This window comes from Homo sapiens, chromosome 5 (genome assembly GCF_000001405.40).
Source record: "Homo sapiens chromosome 5, GRCh38.p14 Primary Assembly".
NCBI lineage: Eukaryota > Metazoa > Chordata > Mammalia > Primates > Hominidae > Homo > Homo sapiens.
Genome location: NC_000005.10, coordinates 115,520,840 through 115,546,031, shown reverse-complemented (window position 1 = coordinate 115,546,031; position 25,192 = coordinate 115,520,840). Strand labels below are relative to the sequence as shown.

At 36.1% G+C, this 25,192-nt stretch overlaps 1 protein-coding gene across 1 annotated transcript, besides 5 other annotated features; it reads left to right on the top strand.

The window, feature by feature from the left end:
* Positions 942–1,708: an enhancer, noted in NCBI's record as "NANOG-H3K27ac-H3K4me1 hESC enhancer chr5:114880021-114880787 (GRCh37/hg19 assembly coordinates)". NCBI's record gives its function as "activates a minimal SCP1, AML or CMV promoter by ChIP-STARR-seq in naive and primed H9 embryonic stem cells {active_cell/tissue: H9 hESC(naive and primed)}" and the evidence as "EXISTENCE:reporter gene assay evidence [ECO:0000049][PMID:30033119]".
* Positions 967–1,306: a silencer, noted in NCBI's record as "silent region_16251". NCBI's record gives its function as "represses an Ori minimal core promoter by ATAC-STARR-seq in GM12878 lymphoblastoid cells {active_cell/tissue: GM12878}" and the evidence as "EXISTENCE:reporter gene assay evidence [ECO:0000049][PMID:35858748]".
* Positions 1,106–1,400: an enhancer, noted in NCBI's record as "tiled region #5951; K562 Activating DNase unmatched - State 1:Tss". NCBI's record gives its function as "activates a minimal TATA promoter and a strong SV40 promoter by Sharpr-MPRA in K562 cells {active_cell/tissue: K562}" and the evidence as "EXISTENCE:reporter gene assay evidence [ECO:0000049][PMID:27701403]".
* Positions 1,257–25,124, top strand: FEM1C (fem-1 homolog C). Its single transcript, NM_020177.3, has 3 exons — positions 1,257–1,509; positions 2,349–3,082; positions 20,415–25,124. The coding sequence occupies exons 2-3, from the start codon at positions 2,539–2,541 to the stop codon at positions 21,722–21,724; spliced, it is 1,854 nt and encodes a 617-aa protein (NP_064562.1). The 5' UTR covers positions 1,257–1,509; positions 2,349–2,538; the 3' UTR covers positions 21,725–25,124.
* Positions 1,407–1,456: a silencer, noted in NCBI's record as "silent region_16250". NCBI's record gives its function as "represses an Ori minimal core promoter by ATAC-STARR-seq in GM12878 lymphoblastoid cells {active_cell/tissue: GM12878}" and the evidence as "EXISTENCE:reporter gene assay evidence [ECO:0000049][PMID:35858748]".
* Positions 1,507–1,676: a silencer, noted in NCBI's record as "silent region_16249". NCBI's record gives its function as "represses an Ori minimal core promoter by ATAC-STARR-seq in GM12878 lymphoblastoid cells {active_cell/tissue: GM12878}" and the evidence as "EXISTENCE:reporter gene assay evidence [ECO:0000049][PMID:35858748]".
* Positions 25,125–25,192: the final 68 nt, after the last annotated feature.

Genomic DNA, 25,192 nt, shown 5'->3' with positions numbered 1-25,192 from the left:
ACATATGCTGAGGGTCAGACTGCCTACTGTAATATTCTATTTCTCCTAGTGGTACTAAGGAATTATGTGAGCTTAAGTTCCCTCAAACAAAGTGATTGAAGGTCCATTTTCAAAAATTCTGTTTTCTCATCAGGATTCATTATGGGCGTTATTTCCCAAACACATTTAAACTTTTTCATCCTAGTTTAATGCAACGTAGGTTTTAGCATCAAATTCCAGAGGTTTATCAACTACTATATGAAGAAGTAATTCTTTTCATTCATATATATAACCTTTTAAGCTTTAGTTCCCGATTTATTACTCAGAGCTCAAGAACCTGACCTCATTGACTTTACATTGCTCTTAGGGTTTACCATTCCTCGTAGCCTTTATGCTTTTTAGAGGCTACTTTAGAAAGAGAGTCAGTTTGACAGCCTCCAAAACTAATCACATTTTCTGAAATTTCAGTTTCCTCCGTGTGTGTTCTGAGGTGTAATTACGAGCTTGGTAATTTCCAGGGCCCACCAAAGTAAGGACGGAAGACTAGTCCGAGAGACTTCACGTGTGTGAGGGTAATACTGGTCCGCACCCAAATTTGAATTTTAGCTCCCATGATTCCCACATATTGTGGGAGGGACCTAGTGGGAGATAATTGAATCAAGAAGGCTGTTTCCCCCATGCTGCTCTGGTGGTAGTGAGTACGTCTCAGGAGAGCTGATTGTTTTATATGGGGTTTCCCTTTTTCCTTGGCTCTGATTTTCCTCTCTTGCCTGCTGCCATGTAAGACGTGCCTTTCCCCTTCTGGCTTGATTGTGAGGCCTCCCCAGCCACGTGGAACTCTGAGTGCATTAAATCTTTTTATCTTTATAAATTACCCAATCTCGGGTATGTCTTTATCAGCAGCGTGAAAACGCACTAATACACTTCCCTTCTGGGGTCTCTGAGATGGGACCGAAAGATTCCCTAAGGGAGCACCCCGAAAATCCGAGAGGAGAAGAGCCAGCGAGATCTCAGAACTCGAGCTGCCTCGGGCCGCTTCGATGGGCACAGATCCGCCCCCTCGCAGCGCCCCGCCCCCCAGCGCGTTGCACGCAGGCACGTCCTCCCAGTAGTTCAGGCCCCGCCCCCTCCCCGTCGCCCCACCCCGGCCGCGACGCCCCGCCCCGCGCCTAGGCTGTTGCTGGCCGCGGCCGCCGCCCTCCCCCGGCCCAATGGCGTGGCGGCACAGTCAGTGATGTGACGCTCAGGCTTGTCCGGCCCCCGGCTCGCAGCCCATTACACCATCCGTCGCAGCAGTCGCTGCAGCCGCTGCAGTCCGAGCCGACTAAGGGCGGGAGGCAGCTCGGGTGGCGGGGCGTGGCGAACAGCGCGGCCGGATTCATTCCTTTGGGGCGCGGAGCATGGAGGAGCTGTGCGGCCGCAGGCGGAGCAGGGCGGCCCGGGCGGCGGTGGGGACAACGGTTTCCCTTTGAAGGGGACGGACAAAGCCCGAGTGACCAGCGGCGGCGGGGAGGACTAGTCCCCGGGCAGGTAGTGGCGGCGGCAGCGGCCTGCCAGGGCTCGGGCCGGGGCCTGAGGTGCCCGCGGAAGGCCTGGGCGGGAAGGAGGGCGCCGGGGGAGCCGAAGGCGGGCAGCGGGCTGGAGGCCACAGCTTGGCCCATCGGGAGGGGGTTGTGGTCGATGGAGGAGATTGGGAGGGGGCTGCCGTTGTCTGGAACAGGGAGAGGGGAAGGTTGTGTTGGGGCGACTGTGGTTTGAGGAACCTGCGGATCATCCCTTGGCGGGGGGTGGGGGGTGATCGAAATGGGGCGGGCGAAGTTAATGACTAAAAGGCAGGCGGATTTCCTGAGAGCCGTGAGTAGTTTTAAAGGAAAGAGAATCTTTCGGGGCACAGTTTTGGCCTTAGCCGGGGTTTGGTGTGTCCGACCTTTTTGTTCTTTCTCGAAACCCGGCCTCAGGCCTTCCAGCCTGGCGCCCTTGGCCAGCTCTCCTGCAGTTGCAAGAAAGAGAAACATTTCTGAACCCGAGTCTCCTGCCTCTTTCGGTTGTACTCTCCCTGGGCGTGTGCAAAGCAAAACTAGAACAAAGCTTGGCTGGTTAGAGCTGGAGGCGAGAAAACGGGCTGCCTGTAGTGTTTAAATTTTCCGCACATGGAGGAGACTGCCTGCGACCAGAACATTTGGGTCTCTGTGTATCCTTCTGTATTTTTCTTTACCACCTTTTCTTTGGGGGTGGGGGGGGTGTGTGGGATGGAGTAGTGCCTGAAGTATAGCTTTTATTCCTTTCTTCCCACAGAAGTGGAAATTAAGAAGTGTTTTGCCTTCTTCTATAGAAAATTAAATGCTGCTACTTTTTTTTTCTTTCTCTAGTTTGGTGCCCTGGTTGTCAGATGTTGGAAAGCAGTAGGACGGAACATACTCTTCGTGGTTGTGTATCCGTTCTGGGGTGCAGCAATTAACATTGGACTTTGGTTCCTGTGACTCTTGCCTGTGTCGATAGAGTTAAACTGGAGCTCTGCTTTGAAAGATAAATAAAGCACAGCCTCTCAACTGGACATAAATGGATCTAAAGACAGCAGTATTTAACGCAGCTCGGGATGGCAAACTCCGGCTTCTCACCAAATTGTTGGCAAGCAAATCCAAAGAGGAGGTTTCCTCCTTGATCTCTGAAAAAACAAATGGGGCCACGCCACTCTTGATGGCCGCCAGGTATGGGCACCTTGACATGGTGGAATTCCTCCTAGAGCAATGCAGTGCCTCCATAGAAGTTGGGGGCTCCGTCAATTTTGATGGCGAAACCATTGAGGGGGCTCCCCCTTTATGGGCCGCTTCTGCAGCAGGACATCTGAAGGTGGTCCAGTCCTTGTTAAATCATGGAGCATCTGTCAACAACACGACTTTAACCAATTCAACTCCTCTTCGAGCTGCGTGTTTCGATGGCCATTTGGAAATAGTGAAGTACCTTGTAGAACACAAAGCTGATTTGGAAGTGTCAAACCGACATGGGCATACGTGCTTGATGATTTCATGTTACAAAGGACATAAAGAGATTGCTCAGTATTTACTTGAAAAGGGGGCAGATGTTAATAGAAAAAGTGTCAAAGGTGAGTTCAGCTTCTTTGTTTTTCTAAATGTCTACCACTTATTTTCAGGAAGTTTGATACATCATTATAAGCACTGGTGTTGAGTAAACCAGCATTGACAGACCTGTTTTGATTAGGTAAGTCTTCCAGTATGACTTTGTTGAGTGTTTCTATGATGTTTGGTAATAGATTGAAAAAGTGTGATAAAAGACTTCTGTTACTCTGTTAAGCAGTATTTTCTCTCTTATTTGGAGTAACTTAAAATTCTTGGGAAATGGGTTCCCCAGAGTTACAGAGCATGTTAGTGGTAGCTGATCTGAGCCTTTAGGCTTATGCTTAATCTACTTGGGAATATGGTTAAATGTAATACATTTTTCTTAGCTTTTTGTTTTGTTTTTTTTTTTTTTAGAACAACCTTGGAGTAGAAATTACTATATTTATTGAGTCATGGTCTTGTTTGTTCTAGGCAGTCATTTCACTTTTTCTGTCAGAGAAGGCTAGGCTAAACTGACCTGGAAGGATTAATATCAGTGGAAAGGAGCAAATCTGTTCCCTTATTCTATATTTGTTTGTGGTCAATAGATAATCCTTTTATAAGAACATGCATTAAATATAGCAAGAGAGAAAACACATTTTTAAAACTGCTTCAATACTGAGAGTGAAGAACAAGGACTAGATTAAACAGATGTGGATTTGTTGGCTAGCAACAGTGTAAACACCTTTGTCCAGAAGAAGGGCTCCGGTTTTTGATTGTGTATAATTTTTGTTGATTGTAATAAACTAAAAGCAGCAAAAAGTAGTTTAGAATTTTTTTAACCCTTAAAAGCAACTGCCTTGATAGCATAATTTTGATACTTGAAAACCTTAACTTCCCTTACACGAATCTATTTATACGACAGCAAAATAATTCACTACCTAATTTTTAAAAGCCATTAAAATTTAAAAGTAGCATATAGACATGTTAAAAAAAATCAAACAGTGTAAATTGGTTTACATTGTTGGTTTACATTTGAATAAAAAGTCTTATTCCTGATTTCTAGATCTCTAATGCGCTGACAACCACTATTTACAGTTTTTTATGTGTCCTTTTAGAGTTGGTCTATGCAAATACAAGCATACTTGTCTATGTACAAGCATGCTTGTTTGTGTAGCCCTCCGTCTAGTGGTTGATTACATACTTTTTTATCTTTATTTATTTTTCTAACCTTGGATGTCATTCAACTCCAACACACATAGCTACCTCATTCTGTTTTGTGGCTATACAGTATTTCATTGTATGAATGTACATAATTTATCTAGTCTCTATTGGTTGATATTTAGGTCACATCCAGTACTTTGCTAATATAAACAATGCTGCTGTGAACATTCTTGAACAAAAATGTGTCTTTTCACGCTTGTGTGAGAATAACTGTAGTATAAATACCTGTGTTCAGAATTGCTAAATCAAAGTGAATGTACATTTGCAGTTGTGATAGTGTCTGCCTTTCAGAAAGGTTAAACCACACAATTATGGGGCACTATATAGTTACTGAGCATATTTGCTGTAGATTGTGTGATCTTTTATAAAAATGATACAAGTGTGATCTTTTATAAAAATGATACAAGATCATTGTGATTTTTCTGAATTTTTTTTTCCAGAGGAAGTGTAAAAATCCCACAAAATCCCAGTACTCAGGGATAATACTTCCAAAGATATTTCTGAATTTTGCATACTGATATATGTATGCAGTTTTATATGCTGTTCTATAACCTGTTTTTTAGCTTAATAAATGTTATCTTTAATATTACCAATTATAGCTCTTTAATTTCAATAGCTGCATACTCTTCTACTGATGGAGTTTTATGTTGCTTCCAGTTTTTCAGTATGATAAAAAATGTTTCTGTAAACATTCTTTCTAATAAGTGTTTTCATTTGTTCCTGATTATCTTTAGAGGTGGCTTGGTAGATCAAATGACAGCATGGCTTTTCTTTTTTCTCCAAACAATTATCATTCTTTTGAAGAATGCTTGTTTTAAGACAACAAATTACTGCTGAACTAACCATGTTAATATTGGGAATGGTTTGAAATCATGGCTGCTTGTTTAGGTTTGTTGAATTTTTTGTTTCTTTGTTTTGGGCTTTTTATTCATCAGCTTGATGTAGATATTATTGATAAACTCATATTTAAGTCAAATTGGGATATGTTTTAAAAGCCTATGTTATTGGAGAGATGAGAACTGGTATTACTTCCGTTATATTTTCCAAAGCTTCTTTATGTACTTGTGGAGATATAGTATATGAGAGAACTCTAATATAAATAGCTCAGATTTTTTCAGCATTTTCTCCTGAGAAGCTGTGAACAGTATTTAACTTGATTACCTTTGAGCTCTTTCAAAACAATGTTCCCTTTATCACCACTATCATCTTTTAGCCTTATATGTGAGGGTATGTCTGTTCTCTCTTTTGGCCAAACTTATTCTAAGTCATTTTTTTCCCCAGTATCAGTATCTAATATGTATGTCTTTAAAAAAACTACATATAACATGAGAAAACAATTTCATGCCAAAAATTGTTTTCTCGTAACCTCAACTTTATACCCATACACATGCATATAGATATTGTCACTTCATGTGCAGAATTTTTACCTTTTCATGGTATCTGTTAATTTCCATAGTGATTCTTCATGAATGTTGGGGGCAGATTAAAGTACATGTTCATCCTCCTCCACTCTGATCCTGAAGCTTCACTGCTCATTCTCTCATTGGTTCTGGATTTTTTTCTATGGGTTAATGGTAACAAAAGCAGGAACCAATTGAAACTAAGGCAGGGACACTGGAGAAGGATGTGATTTAGCAGCAAGAGAGGATTTTTCCCCACTTTTTTAGCCCCATTCAAAAAGTAGAAAAGATTAATAAGACTAGAGTTAAATTAGAATAATTCCTTAGGACATTTTGTGTGTCATTCACTGGAAATGGTTCTGAGGAAAGAAAATGTCAGTACATTGTGCTTGGTCTGCTTAAAGATAAAATGCATGTGACTTCTACATTCCATTACTTTTAAACAGGCGGTTGATATTTGAACATGTTATTTAACCTCTTTTCATTACTTTTTAACAGGCTATTGGCATTTTGAACATGTTTTAACCTAAGGTGGAATTCACTAATTGAGAGAGCAGTTGTTGAGTCCCGCAGTGTGCCAGGCTGTTAGACTTAGGATATACAAAGAGCAATAAGACAAGATAGCCAGTCCTTGATTCCCTGCTCTTGAGGAGCTCATGGTTTGATTGGAGAGACAGGTTCATAAGCAGATACTTAAACCACAGTATGGTAAGTGCAACAGTAGTACTTTCTTCTATTAGATATTTGGAAATGCTTTATCCCCAACAACTTATAACCTGAGGGGACAATGGTTTTCTTCTTTTCCCATGGCATTCCAAAAGGGGAGAAAATCTTTGATATATTTAGGAATACCTCTTCAGTTTAACAGTCATAGCAATTGAGTTTTGAGACGGGAGTTGGTTCCTATTTAAGAATCTAGACTGTAAATCTGTAGTGATTAGGTGAGTCCTTCTCAGAGCTATCACAGTGATCTCAGCGCTTCATGGTTATAGTCATCTTTGGCCTCCTTTGGTTCTTTTGTTTGTGTTTTGGGGTTGTTTTTGTTTGGACTTAGAACTTTGCAGATCCAAAGTTAAGTCCTCTTCAATTCCACTTTTACACCCTAATTCTAACAGAAATTGAGCAGCTAAAAGTTCTTGATTCAGTACTACAGACCAATAGAAAACGCTGTAGGCTCAGATTTGGAGACTGGCTCTAGAAGACATTCTGTCCTCATTCATCAGTCAGTTTAGATACCCAAAGTAATTAAATAAATTGGTAATAAGGTAATTAACATGCACTTTCTGTAGGCAAGGCATTCTGTGGGACATTTTGGAGGTTATGAGAAGATACGAGGTGTCACATTTTTAACTTCTGAAGGAATAGTATAAGCAATCCATGCTATAGGATTTTAGAGCGGGTGTACTGACTAGGAATGCTTCATGGAGAAAGTAGAAGTTAAACAGGGCTTTGAATTTTGGGGTTTAGATCTATGGACAGGTTGGGGTTTAGATCTGCAGAAAGTTTATTGGGATGTGGATCTGTGGAAGGGTTTTGGCAGTTTTGAAGGTTTAGGAAATGGCATAAGGAAAGGCACTTTGAAGAATATGCTTGGAGGGTCCAGGAATTGGAAAGTAGGCATATTAGAACTAAAAGGCACTCAGGGCTGAATTTTAAAGGACATTTAATCTAGGTACAGGAGTTGGATTTTATTTTTCATGCCAGTAAAAGTTTTTCAGCAGGGGACTAACTGGAGTGGTTTGTTTGTTTGCTTGTTTGTTTTCAGAGAAACTTATCTAACTGCATTCTACTACAACACTGTGACATCTAACCGCATTCTACTACATAGTCTTTGAGGCTAAAGACCTAGTGTTTTTACCCCATGCATTAGGAAGAGTATCTGGCCCTAAATGAGCTTGTTGAGTGGACATGTTGGATTTAAGAGAGGAAAGATTATAAGCTCCTTGATGGCAAGCACTATGTTTTATAGGCCTTTCTGTAGGGAAATAAATACATGCATGAAGACTTGAAGTAACAAAGTAAGACAGTAGTTGGACAAAAATGAGTAGCACAGGTAGAATATAGGGGTTCAGAAAAGGGAGAAATTCATGTAGGCATGTGGCAAGGATTGCTAGCATTAAAAGGGTTTGAGAGAACTAGTTCAGACAGATTATTTGCCTTTTCATTATGGAAATTTTCTAACTTACACAGAGAGAATACATTGAACCACTATGTATTCATCATCTTACTTCAACAATTACCCATTTGCTAAAGTTTAAAAAAAAGTTTCTACTTTCCTTTTGTTTTCTATAGTAGTTTAAAGCAAATCCAAGGCTTTATATTATTTCTCTCTCATAGAATGGGCATTTAGAATATAGATGTATTTTAGTCAAGGAAATGCTAAAGAAAAATCTTATTTAATTCCCCACTGTAAATGCACAAGAATCTCAAATGAGAAAATCTCTCTTGTAAACTAAAAACTGTTGGTATTCAGATAGACTAAGATAATGATTGATGTCATTCTAGGTTATTTTAGTATACTTTAGTACTATCTGAGTGTTGAAAGCTGAAGTTCTCTTTTCCTTCTTGACTTTGAAAACTCTTCTCAGCTGTTGGTTACCTCAGCACACCTACTTACAGAGAAAAATAAAAGGGGGAAGGGAGGGACTTATTCTAATATATCTATATTTATTTTGATTGAGTAATGTTTAAATAACTTACTAGTTGAAGTCATTAACACTTTAATCCCAAATTATGAAGTTACTCCTGTAAGTTGCTCTGTGTTCATTCTTTTCCCTCTTGTATCCCCTGGCACACTTTTCTGTGTCCTTGGGAAGAATTAGTATCTTAGTTGGATAAACTAAGCTGTAGATGGTGTGCAAATTGAGTCCAGTAGGGAAATATCCATGTGGTCCTTTGTCCCTGGAGATTGGATTTTGAACTGTGAATCCTCACAGAATTGAGCAGTTTGGTGAGAATGAGTAGATCCTGAGCACTACTGCTGTTCATATTGTTCGTGGCAGTAACATGAGCTTAAGATAGAAGTTACGTTTCACTTACTGGCCTTCGGGTACAATGTAGTTCCTTCACTGGTTCATTTTTTATCAGATTTTCATTGATTGGTTGATAAAATATGTTTGTTTGAAATAAAATTCAGGAAACCCAGGGCATTACATAGATTTATGCTGTTGAGGCAGCAGGAATGTATGTGATGGAAGATAGAAGTGGAAGAGATAGGGAGAGACCCAGATGAAAAAGTCAGTTGGATGCAAATCTGATCAGAACATGTCTTCCTTCTTTTTTTCCTCCCTTTGGGAAGAGCTGTGATTGAACAGGGAGTCTGTGAACTAGAGGACAGGGAATTATAATGTTGAAGTTTTCTGTCATTAGATGAGTTTTTTACACATAATTAGTTGCTTTTAGTCCTCATCCCTTAGCTCCAGTGCTCTTAGCCTTGAAAATTCTACTTAACATCGAGACTCATTTCAAATGCAATTCTTCATCTCCCTCAGGTTATAAGAATGCATCTTACCTCTTTGGATGCAGATATTTTTTAGCGTTTAACTTTGTTGTAAGCTCAAGGACCTTTATTGTTAAATTTCTGTTTGTTCTTTGCTCAGTGCCTTATACAAAGAATTAATGAAGGGAGGGCACATAGTAAGTAGTCTTGGCACAATTTATCTTCTTTTTTTTAATTTCCTTTTTTTTGAACTTCTGTTCTTGAGTATCTCTCATGATAGACTACACATGGGGAAGGGAAACATTCTAAGCAGAGAATCCTTCTTCTAGTGCTCCTTTGATACCCTAAGTTGTTTTTTTCCCTTTATCCCTTCTTACCTCCTCCATCAACCTACACCTGTTAGTTATTCAGGGAATAAAATACTTGGAATCAGCATTATTGTGCAATTGAACCACACACCCTATCCTCATCTTACAAGTGGACCACCTCTGTACTCAGCCCAACCCCAGCTACAAAGTTGAGGAAGGAATGGGTTGGTGCCAAGCATAGTAGGCTGAAGAAAGAGAGATGAGGACTGTTTTTGTGTCTTTCCAAATAAATGTATTATAATAAAAGACCCTCTAATTGCTGCTTCTATCAGTCAACACTTATACTTTCACCAAAAATATAATATTTTTATTTTAATTGGATTTTTAAAACAGCCTTATTGAGATAAAATTCACAAAACCACTTAAAGTGTATACAATTCAATGGCTTTTCAGTATGTTCACGGGGTTATACAACCATCACAACTATCAGCTTTTCATCACCCCCGGAAAAAATCTCATATCCATTAAGAGTCACTCCCTCCTATCCCTCCTCATTCCCCTGAAACTGCACTAGTCTTAGGCAACCAGTAATCTCTTTTCTGTCTTAAGTTTGCCTGTTCTGGACATTTAATTTAAATGGAATCACATAATATGTAGTCTTTTGTGAGTTGTCTTGTTACTTAGTGTAATGTTTTCAAGGTTCATCCATTTTGTAGCATGTATGAGTGCTTTTCTTTTTATTGCAGAATAATATTCCATTGAAATAGATATATCACTTTTATTCATTCAGCAGTTGATGGGCATTTGGGTTGTTTATACTTTTTAGCTATTCATGGATAAATTCTTCTGTGGATATATGTTTTCATTTCTCTCAGGCACATACCTAGGAGTGGCATTATTGGGTTGTATGGTAACTCTTTTAACAGGAACCGTTAAACTGTTTTTCAAAGCAGTTGTACCAGTTTACATTCCTGTCAGCAATGTAAGAAGAGTTCCAGTTTCTCCACACCCTCTCCAACACTTGTTCTTCTTCTTCTTCTTTTTTAATATAGCCATTTTAGGAAGTGTGTAGTGATATCTCATTGTGATTTTGATTTATATTTCTCCAATCGCTAATGACGTTGAGCATTTTTTCATGTACTTAATTCGTGTGGTTATTGGCTCTCTCTGTCTCTATTTTCTTTGGAGGAGTTTCTTCATTAACCTTTGCATGTTTTATAACTGGGTTATCTTTGTATTACTGAACTGTAAGAGTTGTTTATATATTCTTATGTATGTCTTTTATCAGATATATCATTTGCAAATATTTTCTCTCATTCTGTGTTTGTTTTTTTTTTTTTTAACTTTTTTGATGGTGGTGTTTATACCAATTTGGATTTTTATTTTACAAACGGATTTTTAAGGAAATTTATGTGTCACTTATATAATGTCTTACTTAAACAAGAAAATTGTTAGGAATAGACTGCAGAATTTACTGATACTATGCCATTTACTATGCAGGAACTTTTCCATGGATGAAACTTTGTAATCTAATTGTAAAACACAACCCCTTCCTGCTTTGGCATATGGTTAAACTTAGAGTAAAGAGGAATGATACAATTTTATTTCTATATGGTGTAAAACAGGGCTGTGACCTAGCCCTCCTTTTAAATTTATGTTCATATGACTTGATATTGCTATTAGATATATTAGCTATGTGGCAAGTATCTATATAGCAAACAAGAAAATAAGAATCCTTCTCTATTTTCTTGCTACTCAAGGACCAGCAGCGTAGGTATCACTTGGATCCAGCCTAGATGATCTGAATCAAAATCTGCATTTTATTATGATTCTCTGGTGATTTTATACATGAAAGTTTGAGAAGCACAGCTTTATTTGACTTATGCTAAACACACACACAAAGCTTGAAATACATGAGGAATTTACAAACGGCAGAATCTACTGTGTTTGTTAAATATTTTGCAGTCCTTAGGAGGACATTTTTGTTTTTTTATAAAGAGCAGTAAATTCTGTCTACTCCGTGAGGGTGGTTTAGAAACTGACTTGATCCTGGTGAATCTTGGTAATTTTATCTAAATTGAGATATTTATATGTTATGTTGAAGCTCTTTTATGATTTAGATGGTTGGTTGGTAACAATCACTTGCCCTTATCAAACTCAAAACGTTTGGTTTGGACCCAGATAATTCTTAGGCCTCTAACTAGTTCTTCCTCAAAATACAGCTATGTTTTTGGGTTACCTAATTTGAAAAAAATGTTGATTCTATTCCTAGGCACCTAAGCTTCACAGTTGAACATGAATTTTTAATGTCTTACTCACCTGCTATTAAAAGATTACAGGTGTCTTTAAAATTAACAGCAGTGAAGATTGGCACTTCAGATGCTTCTTGAGGAATACTACCACCCTTTAATGCACGAGCACTTACCATAGTTTCCTGACCTTAATATTCATCCCAGAAGCATCCCAGTGAAAATGGCACTTTTCATTCTTCCAGATTTTCTTTGCATTGTTTTTGTGTTAAATTATGAATTTGAAAATTAATGTATTCGTATCATACTGTTTTAGCTTTCTAGAGAAATGCTTTAACAGAATTAATACTTAATGTTGTGCCACTAACCGGATTTCTAAGAAATGCCCATTTAACAAACATGTCTTTTGAGAAATCATGAAATTTTTTTTTTTTATGAATTCAGTGCCAGAATATTTTTTTTCTCCAAATGAACTTTTTCTTAATCAGGCATTGAGAATTGTTTAATATAATATGTTTTTCTTTTTCTCTTCCTTTTTTTTCTTTAGCCAAAGGTAAATTCATTAAATTTCATTGCTGCATATCCTTAATTTCATCTCAGATTCCTGGTAATATTTATTTTTGAACTTTGTGTTGTTTTATTGTTCATTGTCTTTCTCATTCTGAGAATGCGAAAAGAAGACATGATGTGGAGATGGAAAATCTTTGGGAAGTACGATCGCTGTATTATGGGAATGTTTTTAAAGGGCCTGTGTAACCCAGAGAAAATTCTTGAGCTAAATCTATAGTACTTGGCATATATCGTTATGCACCAAAACTTTAAATCAATTATGTTAACTAGCAAAAAAGAAAATATGATTTTAATGATCTTTGGCATGTAACAGTACATACTAGTCACAAGACCCTGGTAACTCACTTTTTAAATTTGGCTTGTTATACTTTTTCACAAAAAATTACATTTAATACTTATAGCATATCTAGCACTTGAAAAAACTGACATAGCAAAATATTTACGGTAAATTTAACAAACTGGTTATCATTTTATAAAGTGCTTATACATAGAAAGCCAGATTAATCTCAGAAACTGAAACATAGACATGGCATAAAAGAAAATAAAGTTTATAAACAGATATGAGAAAATATTCTATTTACCAAGGAATAGAGGTAATATAAATTAAAAAGTTAATTTTAGTAGTAGAAAGAATACTATAAAGTGGAACTTTAAACAATTTTTATAATCCCATTGGTAGTGAATTGAAGATGTCTATTAAGCCATCACACATTTGTGATTCTATTTTAGGTAGGCGTTAATTTTTTTGTCATTTGTTTATTGACTTATTTACATGCAATAAAATTCATACTTTTTAGTGTACAGTACTGTAATTTTTGACAAACATATACTACGCATTTATTAAAGGTAAGAACAAAAATGTCCTTCATGCTCCTTTGCATTAAACCCCTCTCCTAGCCCCCAGCCCTTGCCAATCACTGCTCTGTTATCTGTCCTTATAGTTTTTTAAGCATTAATTTTAATAGTAAAAATTCTGAAGCAGTGCAGATGTCCATCAACGGGGAAATGTTTATGTAATGTATGACTTGCTCCCTTGCTTGAACTTTCACCATAAAACCATTAAGAAGGATTATGTAGAATCTGTGTAGTTACAGAAACTATGCAGACGATGTAATAACACATGACAGAATGCCCAAGATGTAGGTGAAAAGCAGGAAACAGTTATATATATACTGATTATAACTTTGTCAAAGCATACTATATAAAAAGACTTGGAGAAATGACACAAAAGTTATAATTGCTTTAAGATCATGCCTTTTTTTTTTCCCCTCTGTTTTCTAAGCTGTAAGTAATAATGCTCTAGGCTATAATTAAAAAACTTACCTTTAGGGCCTTCCAGGGCAGAAAAGTGTGGTGGTTATACACTTAACCTGTTAGAGTAATTAAAAAGATCTCCTTCTAGGATATTACTTTTTGAACTTATTTTGTCTGCAAAAGCTAAGATTGAATTACTTTTTGTGATATCAAATATTAAAAATTTAGAATCTACCTTAGCTTTAGCAGGTTGCTAGTTGCTTCTGGGATATAAGAAATATAGGATCTGTATACTTTAAGAATAGACTGTTTAGGTAAGAACTTATTTGTGAAGCAGTAGCATTATACTAGTGTAAGGTATTATAATAGTAGATGTTATGTGAATAATTATTAGGATGACTCATATATTTATTCACCAGGCATTCTCACAATGATAAAATTGATATGATAAAACCAGGAAAACCTCTTTAAGCAGTTGAAATTTCTAGTGAGATTTGAAGGACAAGAAGTTAAAATGGTAAAGAAGGAAGTGCTTTATAGGAAAATCAAGAACAGAGGCATAGAGGTGGAAGTGAACAGGGCTGTTTGTTCTTGGTGCTGGGAGAAGTACTTAGGATGGAATAATGTGAAGCATAAGCAGAATTTCTCCCTTGTGTGTGGGAGATGCAGACCATGTCTCCGGGTTAGAGCAGGTTTGGCAAACTATGGCCCAGGGTTCAAATCCAGCCCACCCCATTTCAGTACTGCCTGAGAGCTAAGAAAGGTTTTTACATTTTTGTAATGGTTGAGAAAGAAATCAAATGAAAAATATTTTATGACACATGAAAATCAAATTTTAGAGTACAAAAGTAAAAGTTTTGTTGGGAAACAGCCATATCCATTAATTTAACATACTACCATAGCATATTTCATGGTACTTGGCGGAGTTTAGTGGTTACAACAGAGACCTTATAGTCTAGAAACCTAAAATGCTACCTGGCCTTTTACCGGAAAAGTTTGCCAGTCCCTGAGTTAGATGCACAGTGAATCATTCATTCCAGAGATAATGAGAAATGAAGCTAAAGAGATAGGGTAGGGAAATATTTGTTAGTCTTTTAAAATACGTATCCTTGAATATCCAATATTAAACTTTACTGCACATAATGTTTTCTGAAACTATAGATTTCTTCCTCATTGCTCTCTCCACACAGATAGTGCTTTGAGAATCAATGATGTAGAATTTTGAAGGCCATCTCAAAGATTGTCTGCTTTTCCTTAGAGAAATTGTGAAAGTTTTTTGAGTTGGAAAGTGATGTGATTGGTTGAAGTTCTATTATGAGGTTTGGTTTTATATTAGATATAATTTATTCATTGAGGTTTAATATGACTGGCATTTAAAATATGACCTTAGAAATGAGTAGTACACTGAATTGGCAGTTGGGAGACAGGAGTTTATGTTTTCCCACTAAATTCTCTTTTCTATTTGTATGTAGAATGAGTTTATCATCTCTACCTTGCAAAGTTATTAATATAAGATTAAAAGGGGGCAACAGTTAAATAAAATGTGGGAATATAAAAAAATGCTGTATTCGCATACGTATCCCTTTTTTCATTAATTTTTTTTTTTTACTGTTTGCTTCTACTTTCTCTAATTTAATTTACTGTTTTTTCTTGTAACTTCTTTAGATGGAAACTTAGCTATTTAAAAAATAAGCCTTTCTTTTTATCTAATTTATTATTTAGTGCTTTTTATGATCACCCAGTTAAAAAAATTTTCTGATTTTCATTGGGCTTGCTTCTTTGACCGACGAAGCAAGTGAGTATTAAAAATTCAAATAGACAGGTTTTTCTAGTTATCTTTTTGTTTTGGATATCTGACTTCATTCATAAGTGGACTTAGAACATACTCAGTGACTTCAGTCCCTTGACATTTGTTGAGACTTGCCTTACGGCCAAGAATATGGTCAGTATTTGGATATGCTCCCTGTATCCCTGGGGGCAAAATTGTTTTCTATGGTTGTTGAGTGCCATGTTCTTTTATTTATGCCAGTTAAATCAAGTTTGTAATGTTCAAATCTTCATCCTTACTGGTTTTGGTCTTCTAAACTGAGAAAGATATGTTTAGATGTACTAATGTTTGCAGATTTGTTTGCTTTCCTAGTAGTTCTGTCGATTTTTACTTTACGTAACTTAATTCTATGTTATTAGGTGAAAACAAGTTTAAAATTATTATATCTGTATATTTTGAATTTTTTAACATTATAAAATATTTCCTTTTTTCACTAATTATGTATTTTGCATTAAAGTCTACTTTCATATTTTAATATCAGACAGCTTCTTAATATTTAGTTTTTGCAAAGGGCATTTTTTTCCCAAACTTTCACTTCTAAAGATCATTTTCTACCCATATATTTAAGGTGTGTCTTGTAGGCAGTGTGTCTTGAGTTTTCTTTGTATCTTCAGTCTGACAGTTTTTGTCTTTTAAGTTTTTGTCTTTTCTTTGTATCTTCAGTCTGACAGTTTCTGTCTTTTAAATGTTTAAATTAAACATTTAGTTTACTTACATTTAATGTAATTACTGATATTTTTGGATTTTCATCTCCTGGGTACTTTTCTGATTTTTATTTGTCCTGCCTGTTTTGTGTTCCTTGGTCTTCTTTTTTGCCACTTTTGGATTATTATTTCATTTTTTTCTATATGTTAGAGAAAATGTAGTTATGTGCATACCCTCTATTATTTTAGTAGTTATTCTAGATAGCATTACTTTGACTTATCAAAGGCTAACATAAATTTCTAATTTTATGTCTTTACAAGAAAGAGATCTTAGAACACGTTAACACCAATTACCCTCCATAATTTCGTGGTATTGCTGTCAAGTGTTTTATTTCTATGTATGTATTTCAAGCCCTACAAGATATTATTTTTAAAATCAGTATTTATTTAGATGTACTCACAAATTTACCCTTTTTGTTGATGTTTTTGCCTATATCTCCAGGCTTCCACGTGGCTCATCTTCCTTCTGCCTAAAGAACACCATATAGTATTTAGATCTGCTGGTAATAAATATCTTAATTTTTTCCTTTTCATTTCTTTATTCCTGAAAGGGTTCTTTATTTGACATTTATTCTTGATATGGGTATAGAATTTTTTCTAAGTTGGCAGTTACTTTTCTTTCGTGCTTTTAAATATCATTTACTGTCTCCTAGTTTCTGTTGTTCCTGATGAAAACTTTGCTGTCAGATTGTTGCTCTTTTATAGGTAACTTCCATTCATTCTCTTGTTTTAAGATTTTTCTCTTTGTCCTTAGTTTTCAGCAGTTTGCTGTGTTGTATGTCAATGTGTTTTTCTTTTTATTTGTCCTTCTTGGAGTTTGTAAAACCTACTGCATTTGCAGTTTAAGCTTTCATCAGCTTCTGAAAATTCTTGGACTTTATCTTTTCTTAAATATTGCTTTGGGACCCATTTTTTTGCTCTAGAATTCTGGTTTTGAGTATGTTAACAATATTCTGACGTTGTTCCCTCTTTCTCTTATAGTCTCCATCTTTTCTGTTCTTTTACCACTCCCTGCTTCTTTCTGTATATTTTCATCGTATTTACCTTCCAGTTACTAATTCTCTATTCAGCTGTGTGTAAATCCACTTTTAAAGCCACTCACCGAGTTTTTCAGTTCTAGAATGTCTACTTGATTAGTTTCCAGTTTTCTGTTGAATTCTCAATTTTAAAAAACTCCTCGAATATGCTAAGCATAGTTATTATTTGAAAATCTGTGTTGATAAACTGCATTATCTGGGTCTCCTGTTGGGCTTTTCTGTCAGCTCTTTATTTCCATTGTTTTTTGTGTTATGGTTCCTCATTTTCTTTTCATTATTTTTGATTGGATACCAAGCATTACATATGAAAAATATAAATAATTTGAACCCTAATATGATAATATCTTCCTCTAAATAGTATTTATATTTGCTTCTGGCTTTTAATTCTGTATACTAGTCATCCTGGATTATTTCAAATCAATAATGAGATGATCTTAAATTCGATTTAAGTTTTTGCGATAGCTAGTCTATTTGCAGTTAACTTTAACTCCCTAGGGTTAAAGTTGGAGGTTTAACCCAAAGTGTGGGGAATTTTCTAAGTTCCTTTCTTAGTAGGCTGTAGGCTCCACTTTTCCCCTCTATCCCTGCAAGGCTGTCACTAGTTCTGCTCAGTGTTTCAGCTAGCTCTTCCAGAATTGGTGGAGGCCACTGTGGGAAAGCTGCCTCAAATTCTGGACTTGACCTCTCTAGTTTTTTCTTCTCCTGCATATTGTCCCCTTGTTATGTCTTAAATCCTGTCAAGCAGATTTTTAAAAATAAATTTTTCAGTTTTTTTAGTTGTTAGTGGGAGGGTGATCATGTTACAGGTATCTCTGCCATTACTGGATGTGAAAGTCTTCCTTATTGTTTGTTTTTTTAAAGCTACTTTTTTTCTCCTGGTATGTGGGTGTATTCAAAATAAATATATTTTGTATTTTTTCGATAAATACAGAAATAGAGTTCATTTAATTGGCTTTTGCTACCTTTTTTTTTTTTTTTTTTTCTGAGACGAAGTCTCACTTTGTCACCAGGCTGGAGTGCAGTGGCATGATCTCTGCTTACTGCAACCTCCACCTCCCAGGTTCAAGTGATTCTCCTGCCTCAGCCTCCCAAGTAGCTGGGACTACAGGCGCGTGCCACCATGCCCAGCTAATTTTTGTGTTTTTAGTAGAGACAAGGTTTTACCATGTTGGCCAAGATGGTCTTGATCTCTTGACTTCATAATCTGCCCACCTCAGCCTCCCAAAGTGCTGGGATTACAGGCGTGAGCTACCGCGCCTGGCCAGCTTTTGCTACATTTTATTCTTGATTTTGTGCTACTCTGAATAGAGAAAAGTGCCATCTAAGCCATTTCTTTATATTCAGATTTCTCTTATATTGCCTATTTCTTAGAAAAACATGGGGAATAGTAGAGGTCCTTAATACAAAAGAGTGTTTAAAATATACTTGGTGTAGTAGTCATGTTTAATTGAAATTATTTTAAACAAATGAACATCGATAGTCAGAAGTTCTGGGCTCTTTCAGTGCTTGGTTAGCTTACTCATTGTTAAAACATTTTATCAAACACTATTTCATTGTAGACCATTGAAATCTTGGGTCAGAATAATTATATAGTCCTTGTAGATATCATAGAAGACGAAACAGGATAAACTTGTGGAAAGATTCAATATTTCTTATAATAACTTGTTTTTTTCTAACTTTAGTTACAAAGTAGATTTATTTGAAGTATTCAGGTTTAAAATACTTTCTGGTACACATGCTATGTTGAGCATCCCCAAAGCCACCCCCAAATTTGGAAGTAACTCACCATATAACTGTACTCATAGGTAAGATTTATTACTGTAATGTCATAAGGACATGCAGCTGAATTATGAGGGGTAAAGCCGCAGGTGAAGTGTAGAGAAATCTTTGTGTAGATGTTTTTATGCTTTGTTCCTCTTGTGAGGGGTCACATAGAGCATATTCTTCCCCAGTAATGTAAATACATATGTGTCATGTTTCTACCAAGGAAAACCCATGACAGACCCAGTGCTCAAGGTTTTTACTGGGGGCTGGTCATGTAGGTACCCTGTGCCTAGCTCATACCCAAAATTCTAGACTCCCAGAAGGAAACCAGACATTCAGCATAAACTGCATTGTTTCTACATACAGTTTAGGTACAGTGAGATACCCTTATCATTTAGGGAAAGTTTTAGATCAGTATAGAGAACTATTTACCAGCCAAGTTCCCAGCTACCAGCCAAAGGTCCAACCTTGCAAGAAGGTCTTTCTAAGGATAGCAGTCTCAGCCTGCCATGCTACCTCTTTTCTACAGACATGCCTAAAATGACTGACTGTTGAAATTTTATGTAAACATTGTATGTAAATACCAGAGGTCGGCATGATAATTCCTATTTTGACGATTAGTAAAATGTTTATCATTAAACTTAGCTAAAATACCTGGTGTTTCCGATGTCTTAATGTGTTTCATACAGGCTTTTACTAATGTGCCAGTGCCTGTTGTCAGTTTTAATCTGTGTGTGGGAAGAAAAGGACAGTGTTAGAACATTTAGTACAGCTATAAAGAATGTTTAAAAAGTTAAATTATAATAGGAAATAATCCATTATGAAAGGACACTTCAGATATCTCCTTTTAAAGTTCATATTGAACCACCCGCATATTTTTCAGATTCCATGGATTTGTTTTTCTTACGAGAGCTTTTTGGGGAAAGTCCTTTGTTACCAAGAATTTTGGCTAAGACAGTTGAAATTCAACTTGGCAATCAGAAATAAATATTGAAAAAATAATTTCTGACTACTATTAGAGTCAAAATGAAGAATCTTAGATATATTAAAGAGCAGTCTGGCCAGGCATTGTGGCTCACACCTGCAATCCCAGCACTTTGGGAGACTAAGGCAGGAGCATTGCTTGAGCCCAGGAGTTTAAAACCAGCCTGGGCAACATAGCAAGACCTGGTCTCTAAAGAAAAAAAAAAAGACCAATTCCTTGTTTATAAATGTGGAAACTGACCTGGAAGTTAAGTGACTTGTCAGTAAAATGGTGAATAGCTGGTTATTTGTATTCTACCGATTTTTAGATAATAAAATATGCACTTTAAAACATTAATGAAAAATACGAAGAGACCATGGATTAGTTTGAATTTCTTCTGGTGACTTTGGATGTCTTTTTACACCTAATTTGGTCATGTCATTTATTCAATAAGTTTAATATCAGATACTAGTTTTAGGTACTGGGGGAATTTTTTTTTCTCGTTTGTAAACCAAGTATGTCCTACTTAGGAACTTAAAGCTTCCTGCTTTTCTTTAGGTTCTAAAGTGCATATATATATTACATTATATTTTGGTCCCTCAATGTATGTTATTTCTTTTTTTCTCTCTCTCTTTAAGGTAATACTGCATTGCATGATTGTGCAGAATCTGGAAGTTTGGACATCATGAAGATGCTTCTTATGTATTGTGCCAAGATGGAAAAGGATGGTTATGGAATGACTCCCCTTCTCTCAGCAAGTGTGACTGGTCACACAAATATTGTGGATTTTCTGACACACCATGCACAGACCAGCAAGACAGAACGTATTAATGCTCTAGAGCTTCTGGGAGCTACATTTGTAGACAAAAAAAGAGATCTGCTTGGGGCTTTGAAATACTGGAAAAAGGCAATGAACATGAGGTACAGTGATAGGACTAATATTATTAGTAAACCAGTGCCACAGACACTAATAATGGCTTATGATTATGCCAAGGAAGTGAACAGTGCAGAAGAGCTAGAAGGTCTTATTGCTGATCCTGATGAGATGAGAATGCAGGCACTATTAATCAGAGAACGTATTCTTGGTCCTTCTCATCCTGATACCTCTTACTATATTAGATATAGAGGCGCTGTCTATGCAGACTCTGGAAATTTCAAACGATGCATCAACCTATGGAAGTATGCTTTGGATATGCAGCAGAGCAATTTGGATCCTTTAAGCCCAATGACCGCCAGCAGCTTATTATCTTTTGCAGAACTATTCTCCTTTATGCTACAGGATAGGGCTAAAGGCCTGCTGGGTACTACTGTTACATTTGATGATCTTATGGGCATACTTTGCAAAAGCGTCCTTGAAATAGAGCGAGCTATCAAACAAACTCAGTGTCCAGCTGACCCATTACAGTTAAATAAGGCCCTTTCTATTATTTTGCACTTAATTTGCTTGTTAGAGAAAGTTCCTTGTACTCTAGAACAAGACCATTTCAAAAAGCAGACTATATACAGGTTTCTTAAGCTGCATCCAAGGGGAAAGAATAACTTCAGCCCTCTTCATCTGGCTGTGGACAAGAATACTACATGTGTAGGGCGGTACCCTGTTTGTAAATTTCCATCTCTACAAGTTACTGCAATACTGATAGAATGTGGTGCTGATGTGAACGTCAGAGACTCGGATGACAACAGTCCCCTGCATATCGCTGCTCTTAACAACCATCCAGACATCATGAATCTCCTTATTAAATCAGGTGCACATTTTGATGCCACAAACTTGCACAAACAAACTGCTAGTGACTTGCTGGATGAGAAGGAAATAGCTAAAAATTTAATCCAGCCTATAAATCATACCACATTGCAGTGTCTTGCTGCTCGTGTCATAGTGAATCATAGAATATATTATAAAGGGCATATCCCAGAAAAGCTAGAGACTTTTGTTTCCCTTCATAGATGATAACTTGACTGTATTTTAGCACTGTTAAAGCACGAATTGGTAACAGTTGTTTCATAAATGAGCACTGTTGTGATAACACCAGCATTCATTTAGCTTGATTGATATCATTGTGCTCTCATTGGCTAAAGCATTATAAGCATCAAATTTACAACATTGGTTTCCCAATATTTAATATAAATATACCATATAATATATTGTTTGTGAATTATTGAGAAATGTAACATTCAAATTTCTAAAATTGTCTGCCAAAGGCTTATTCATTCTGGTTTTGTTTGCTGTTGGGTGTTTGGGGCAGAGTTAACCATTTCTCCATGGTGTCTTTATACTTTACTGGTTTGTGAATTTTATACAATTGAAAGTCTTTTTTTCTTGCTTCTTTCTTCTCTTCTCAAGTTTCCCCCCTGTTTCTACTTTATTGTTTGTCCTAACCATTTCTACTACAGTTTTTTCCTTATGGACCCATACTAGGTTGTACAAACCTTAAGGACTCGTTACCATTTGCAGTTACCATAAGTGCTTTATCTTCTCTATGCACAGGCTTAAACTTGACTGTTGTATGTTAGCATATTTTCTATGCAGCAGTTGGTCAACTTCAACTCAAAACACTGTTTTCTTATGTTTGTTACAAACTTAATTTTTTGAAAGTACTCTGTAGCATGACAATTTTTAGAGCTGCAGGTTAGCTATTATAGCTCAAGCTTTTTTGTTTGTTTTTTTCTTCACTTTCTTCACATCTGAGGTTTCTTTCTCTAATCCACTGAAATTATTGTGTGCTAAATTTGGGAAACAGATCTATTCTAACTCATTAACCCAGTTGAAATTTAGGTCTGTCATCTTAATATATCATGCAGTAAAAGGAAGAATCTTTTTAAAGTGACCCACCTTTCATGCTGCTCCAGCATTGTCCTGCTTGTGCTGATGGTGTGATTAGGTGTAGAGAATTTGCTTAAATTTAACTTCAAAGTTCATCACACAGCTTAATGAGTCACATTGAAATACTCAGTAATTGAACTGCAAATCACTTTTAGTTACAAAAAGAGCTAAAGCATGTCAGTGGCATGATGCTTGCCAAGCCAGATCTAGGCATCTAGGATAATTAAGGTATTTTAGTATGCAATTTACTGCCATAATATCAAAGGTCAGTAACAGTGTTCTTTCTTTCTTCAAGCTTATGTATACCTTTAAAGATAACTTGCATGAATTACTTTGATTACTTTGGTCTCAATTATTTGTCACCCCAGTTAAACATGAAAGGTTGCAGTGCTTCCTGTTCCCTTACTGGAAGTTAGCTTTTTCTTTTCTCTTTCTTCCTTTCTTTCTCTCACTCTTTCTTTCTCTTTCTCTTTCTCTCTCTCTCTCTCTCTCACTCACTCACTCACAGATTTGCTAATGCCACAGAAAGGGCTCTTTTAACTTAAGATAAGTGAAAAGTACTAAAAAAGATTCAGGTAATTATCATTCAGCACTTTATTGTAATTCAGAATAAAATTTATGATGGCATATTTGCCCTGCAAATGTCTTAATGAAGTTGTTCTCAATAAAAAGCTCCTTATTGATTTGAGAAAAACTCAGTTTACCTGTGAGTTCAATGAGCTGGATCACTCACTTGGATTTTTGTGTTGACATTTTATTCTGAGGGTTGATGTTACACTATTTAAGGAGTCATCAATGCAAACAGTCACATTAGGTATGTCATCATCTTTAGTCAGTAAAAACCTTGTAATGAGGAGTAGTAAATAAACAAGAGAACATTAGACTTTTTGGTTAAATAATTGAGATTTAATTTTTAAAAGATATTCTTACTCATTTGCTAGGTTGTAAATTTGATTTCACCATTAAGAAAAGGTAAATTGGATATAAATGAACGATCTCCAACTTTTTGATGAAGAGGTTTTACTATCTCTCACTGTGGGAAAATTTGATGAAATATTTGAACTGTCACATATATTAAGAATACTTTATGATTTAGACCAATATTCTAGAAATATCAAATGTCAGTATCTTGAAATCATCTGCCTCTAACTTTGTGGTATAAGAATTATATATGAATAAGCTATTATTTTTATAAAGGAAAACTTTGCCATTATAGTAAATTACATTAGTTGATCTCGATAATTTGAGGATAACAGATGACAATTGAATTTTTAATTGATTTAGTATTTCCTCCTCCTCTTTGGGGGCTGGGTGGGAGGGCTTACATGCTCTTATAGTGAGGCACATCTCACTGTTTTGCAGCAGAATTTGAATTGTGCAACTCCTGTGTAAAGTAAGGATTTCTTTAAATAGCATTTTTGCACCAGTAAAAATAGATAACTTAGAACTCAGTCTTGATAACTGAAATGACTTATTTCACTTAGAATACATTTCTCCCTTCTCTGCCATCTCCACAAATGCCATTGGGAGGTTTTGAAAAACCAGTTAATTTAATAGCTCAAAATTGTCCCTGATTTTATTTTCTTTTAGGGAAAATTGTTTCATAAATGTGACACTGATAAAGCCTTTGTCAGAAAGTATTCTCACAATTATGAGATGGATTATAATAAAATACTTAAATTTGTGTTATTTTTTGAACCACAGATGAGTAAATTTAATAATGAACCAATTACACTCTTGAGTCTAACTAAACTGTACACTGTAGCACGGTGTTATTGACTGGAGTTAATGTGTAAGTTATTAACATTTCTATGAAAATGCCCTTTTGGGGCCTCCTGAATTTTAGATGTTCCACTGTTTTGATCATTTCTATAAAAGAAATGGTCATTTTACTTAGATGCCAGTCTACTTTATAAAGACAAATGGATTATAGACTTAAAAATAGTCATTTTTCTTATTCATAAATCTGACAGGCATAAACCCAAATCAAAGATAATTTGGTGCCCATTATGAATTTGAAGTTAAGTGATAGCTCACTTGTAAAGTGACTACCTTAATGTGTATAGAGACCCCAGTCTACTATTATTTGGGAAAATTGTTTAGGTTATATGGGAAAAGTAGCTCTTTAAAAATCATATTGCCCAACAGAAACCTTAGGCTGAATTTACAGGTATGATAATTTTTGTAATTAATTTTCTTAGAATTGTGCAGGCTGGATGAGATAATGACATACTCTTTTACACTGTAACAGCAGCATTATTGCCTAGAACTTTAACCATTTTAGAGTTAGATACTAAGGAAACAAACTAATTGGTCATCATCATTTTCTTTTTTTCTTTTTCTTTTTTTTTTTTTTGCCCTTATGTGTCACTAAACAACTAGTTTCTCTCCCTTTTGTCAGTTCCCATTGTGTATTTTTTCAAAAGAAGTACTGTATTCGGATGCCAGCTAATAAATTGTCACACAATGGAAAATCATATGCCACAACATTCATTGTAAGGTTTAATAAAATTAAATTTGCACCAAATTTAAGTGTATTCTTATTAACTCAATACTTGATTGGTATTATCCTAATGCAAATGATAGTAAACTCCT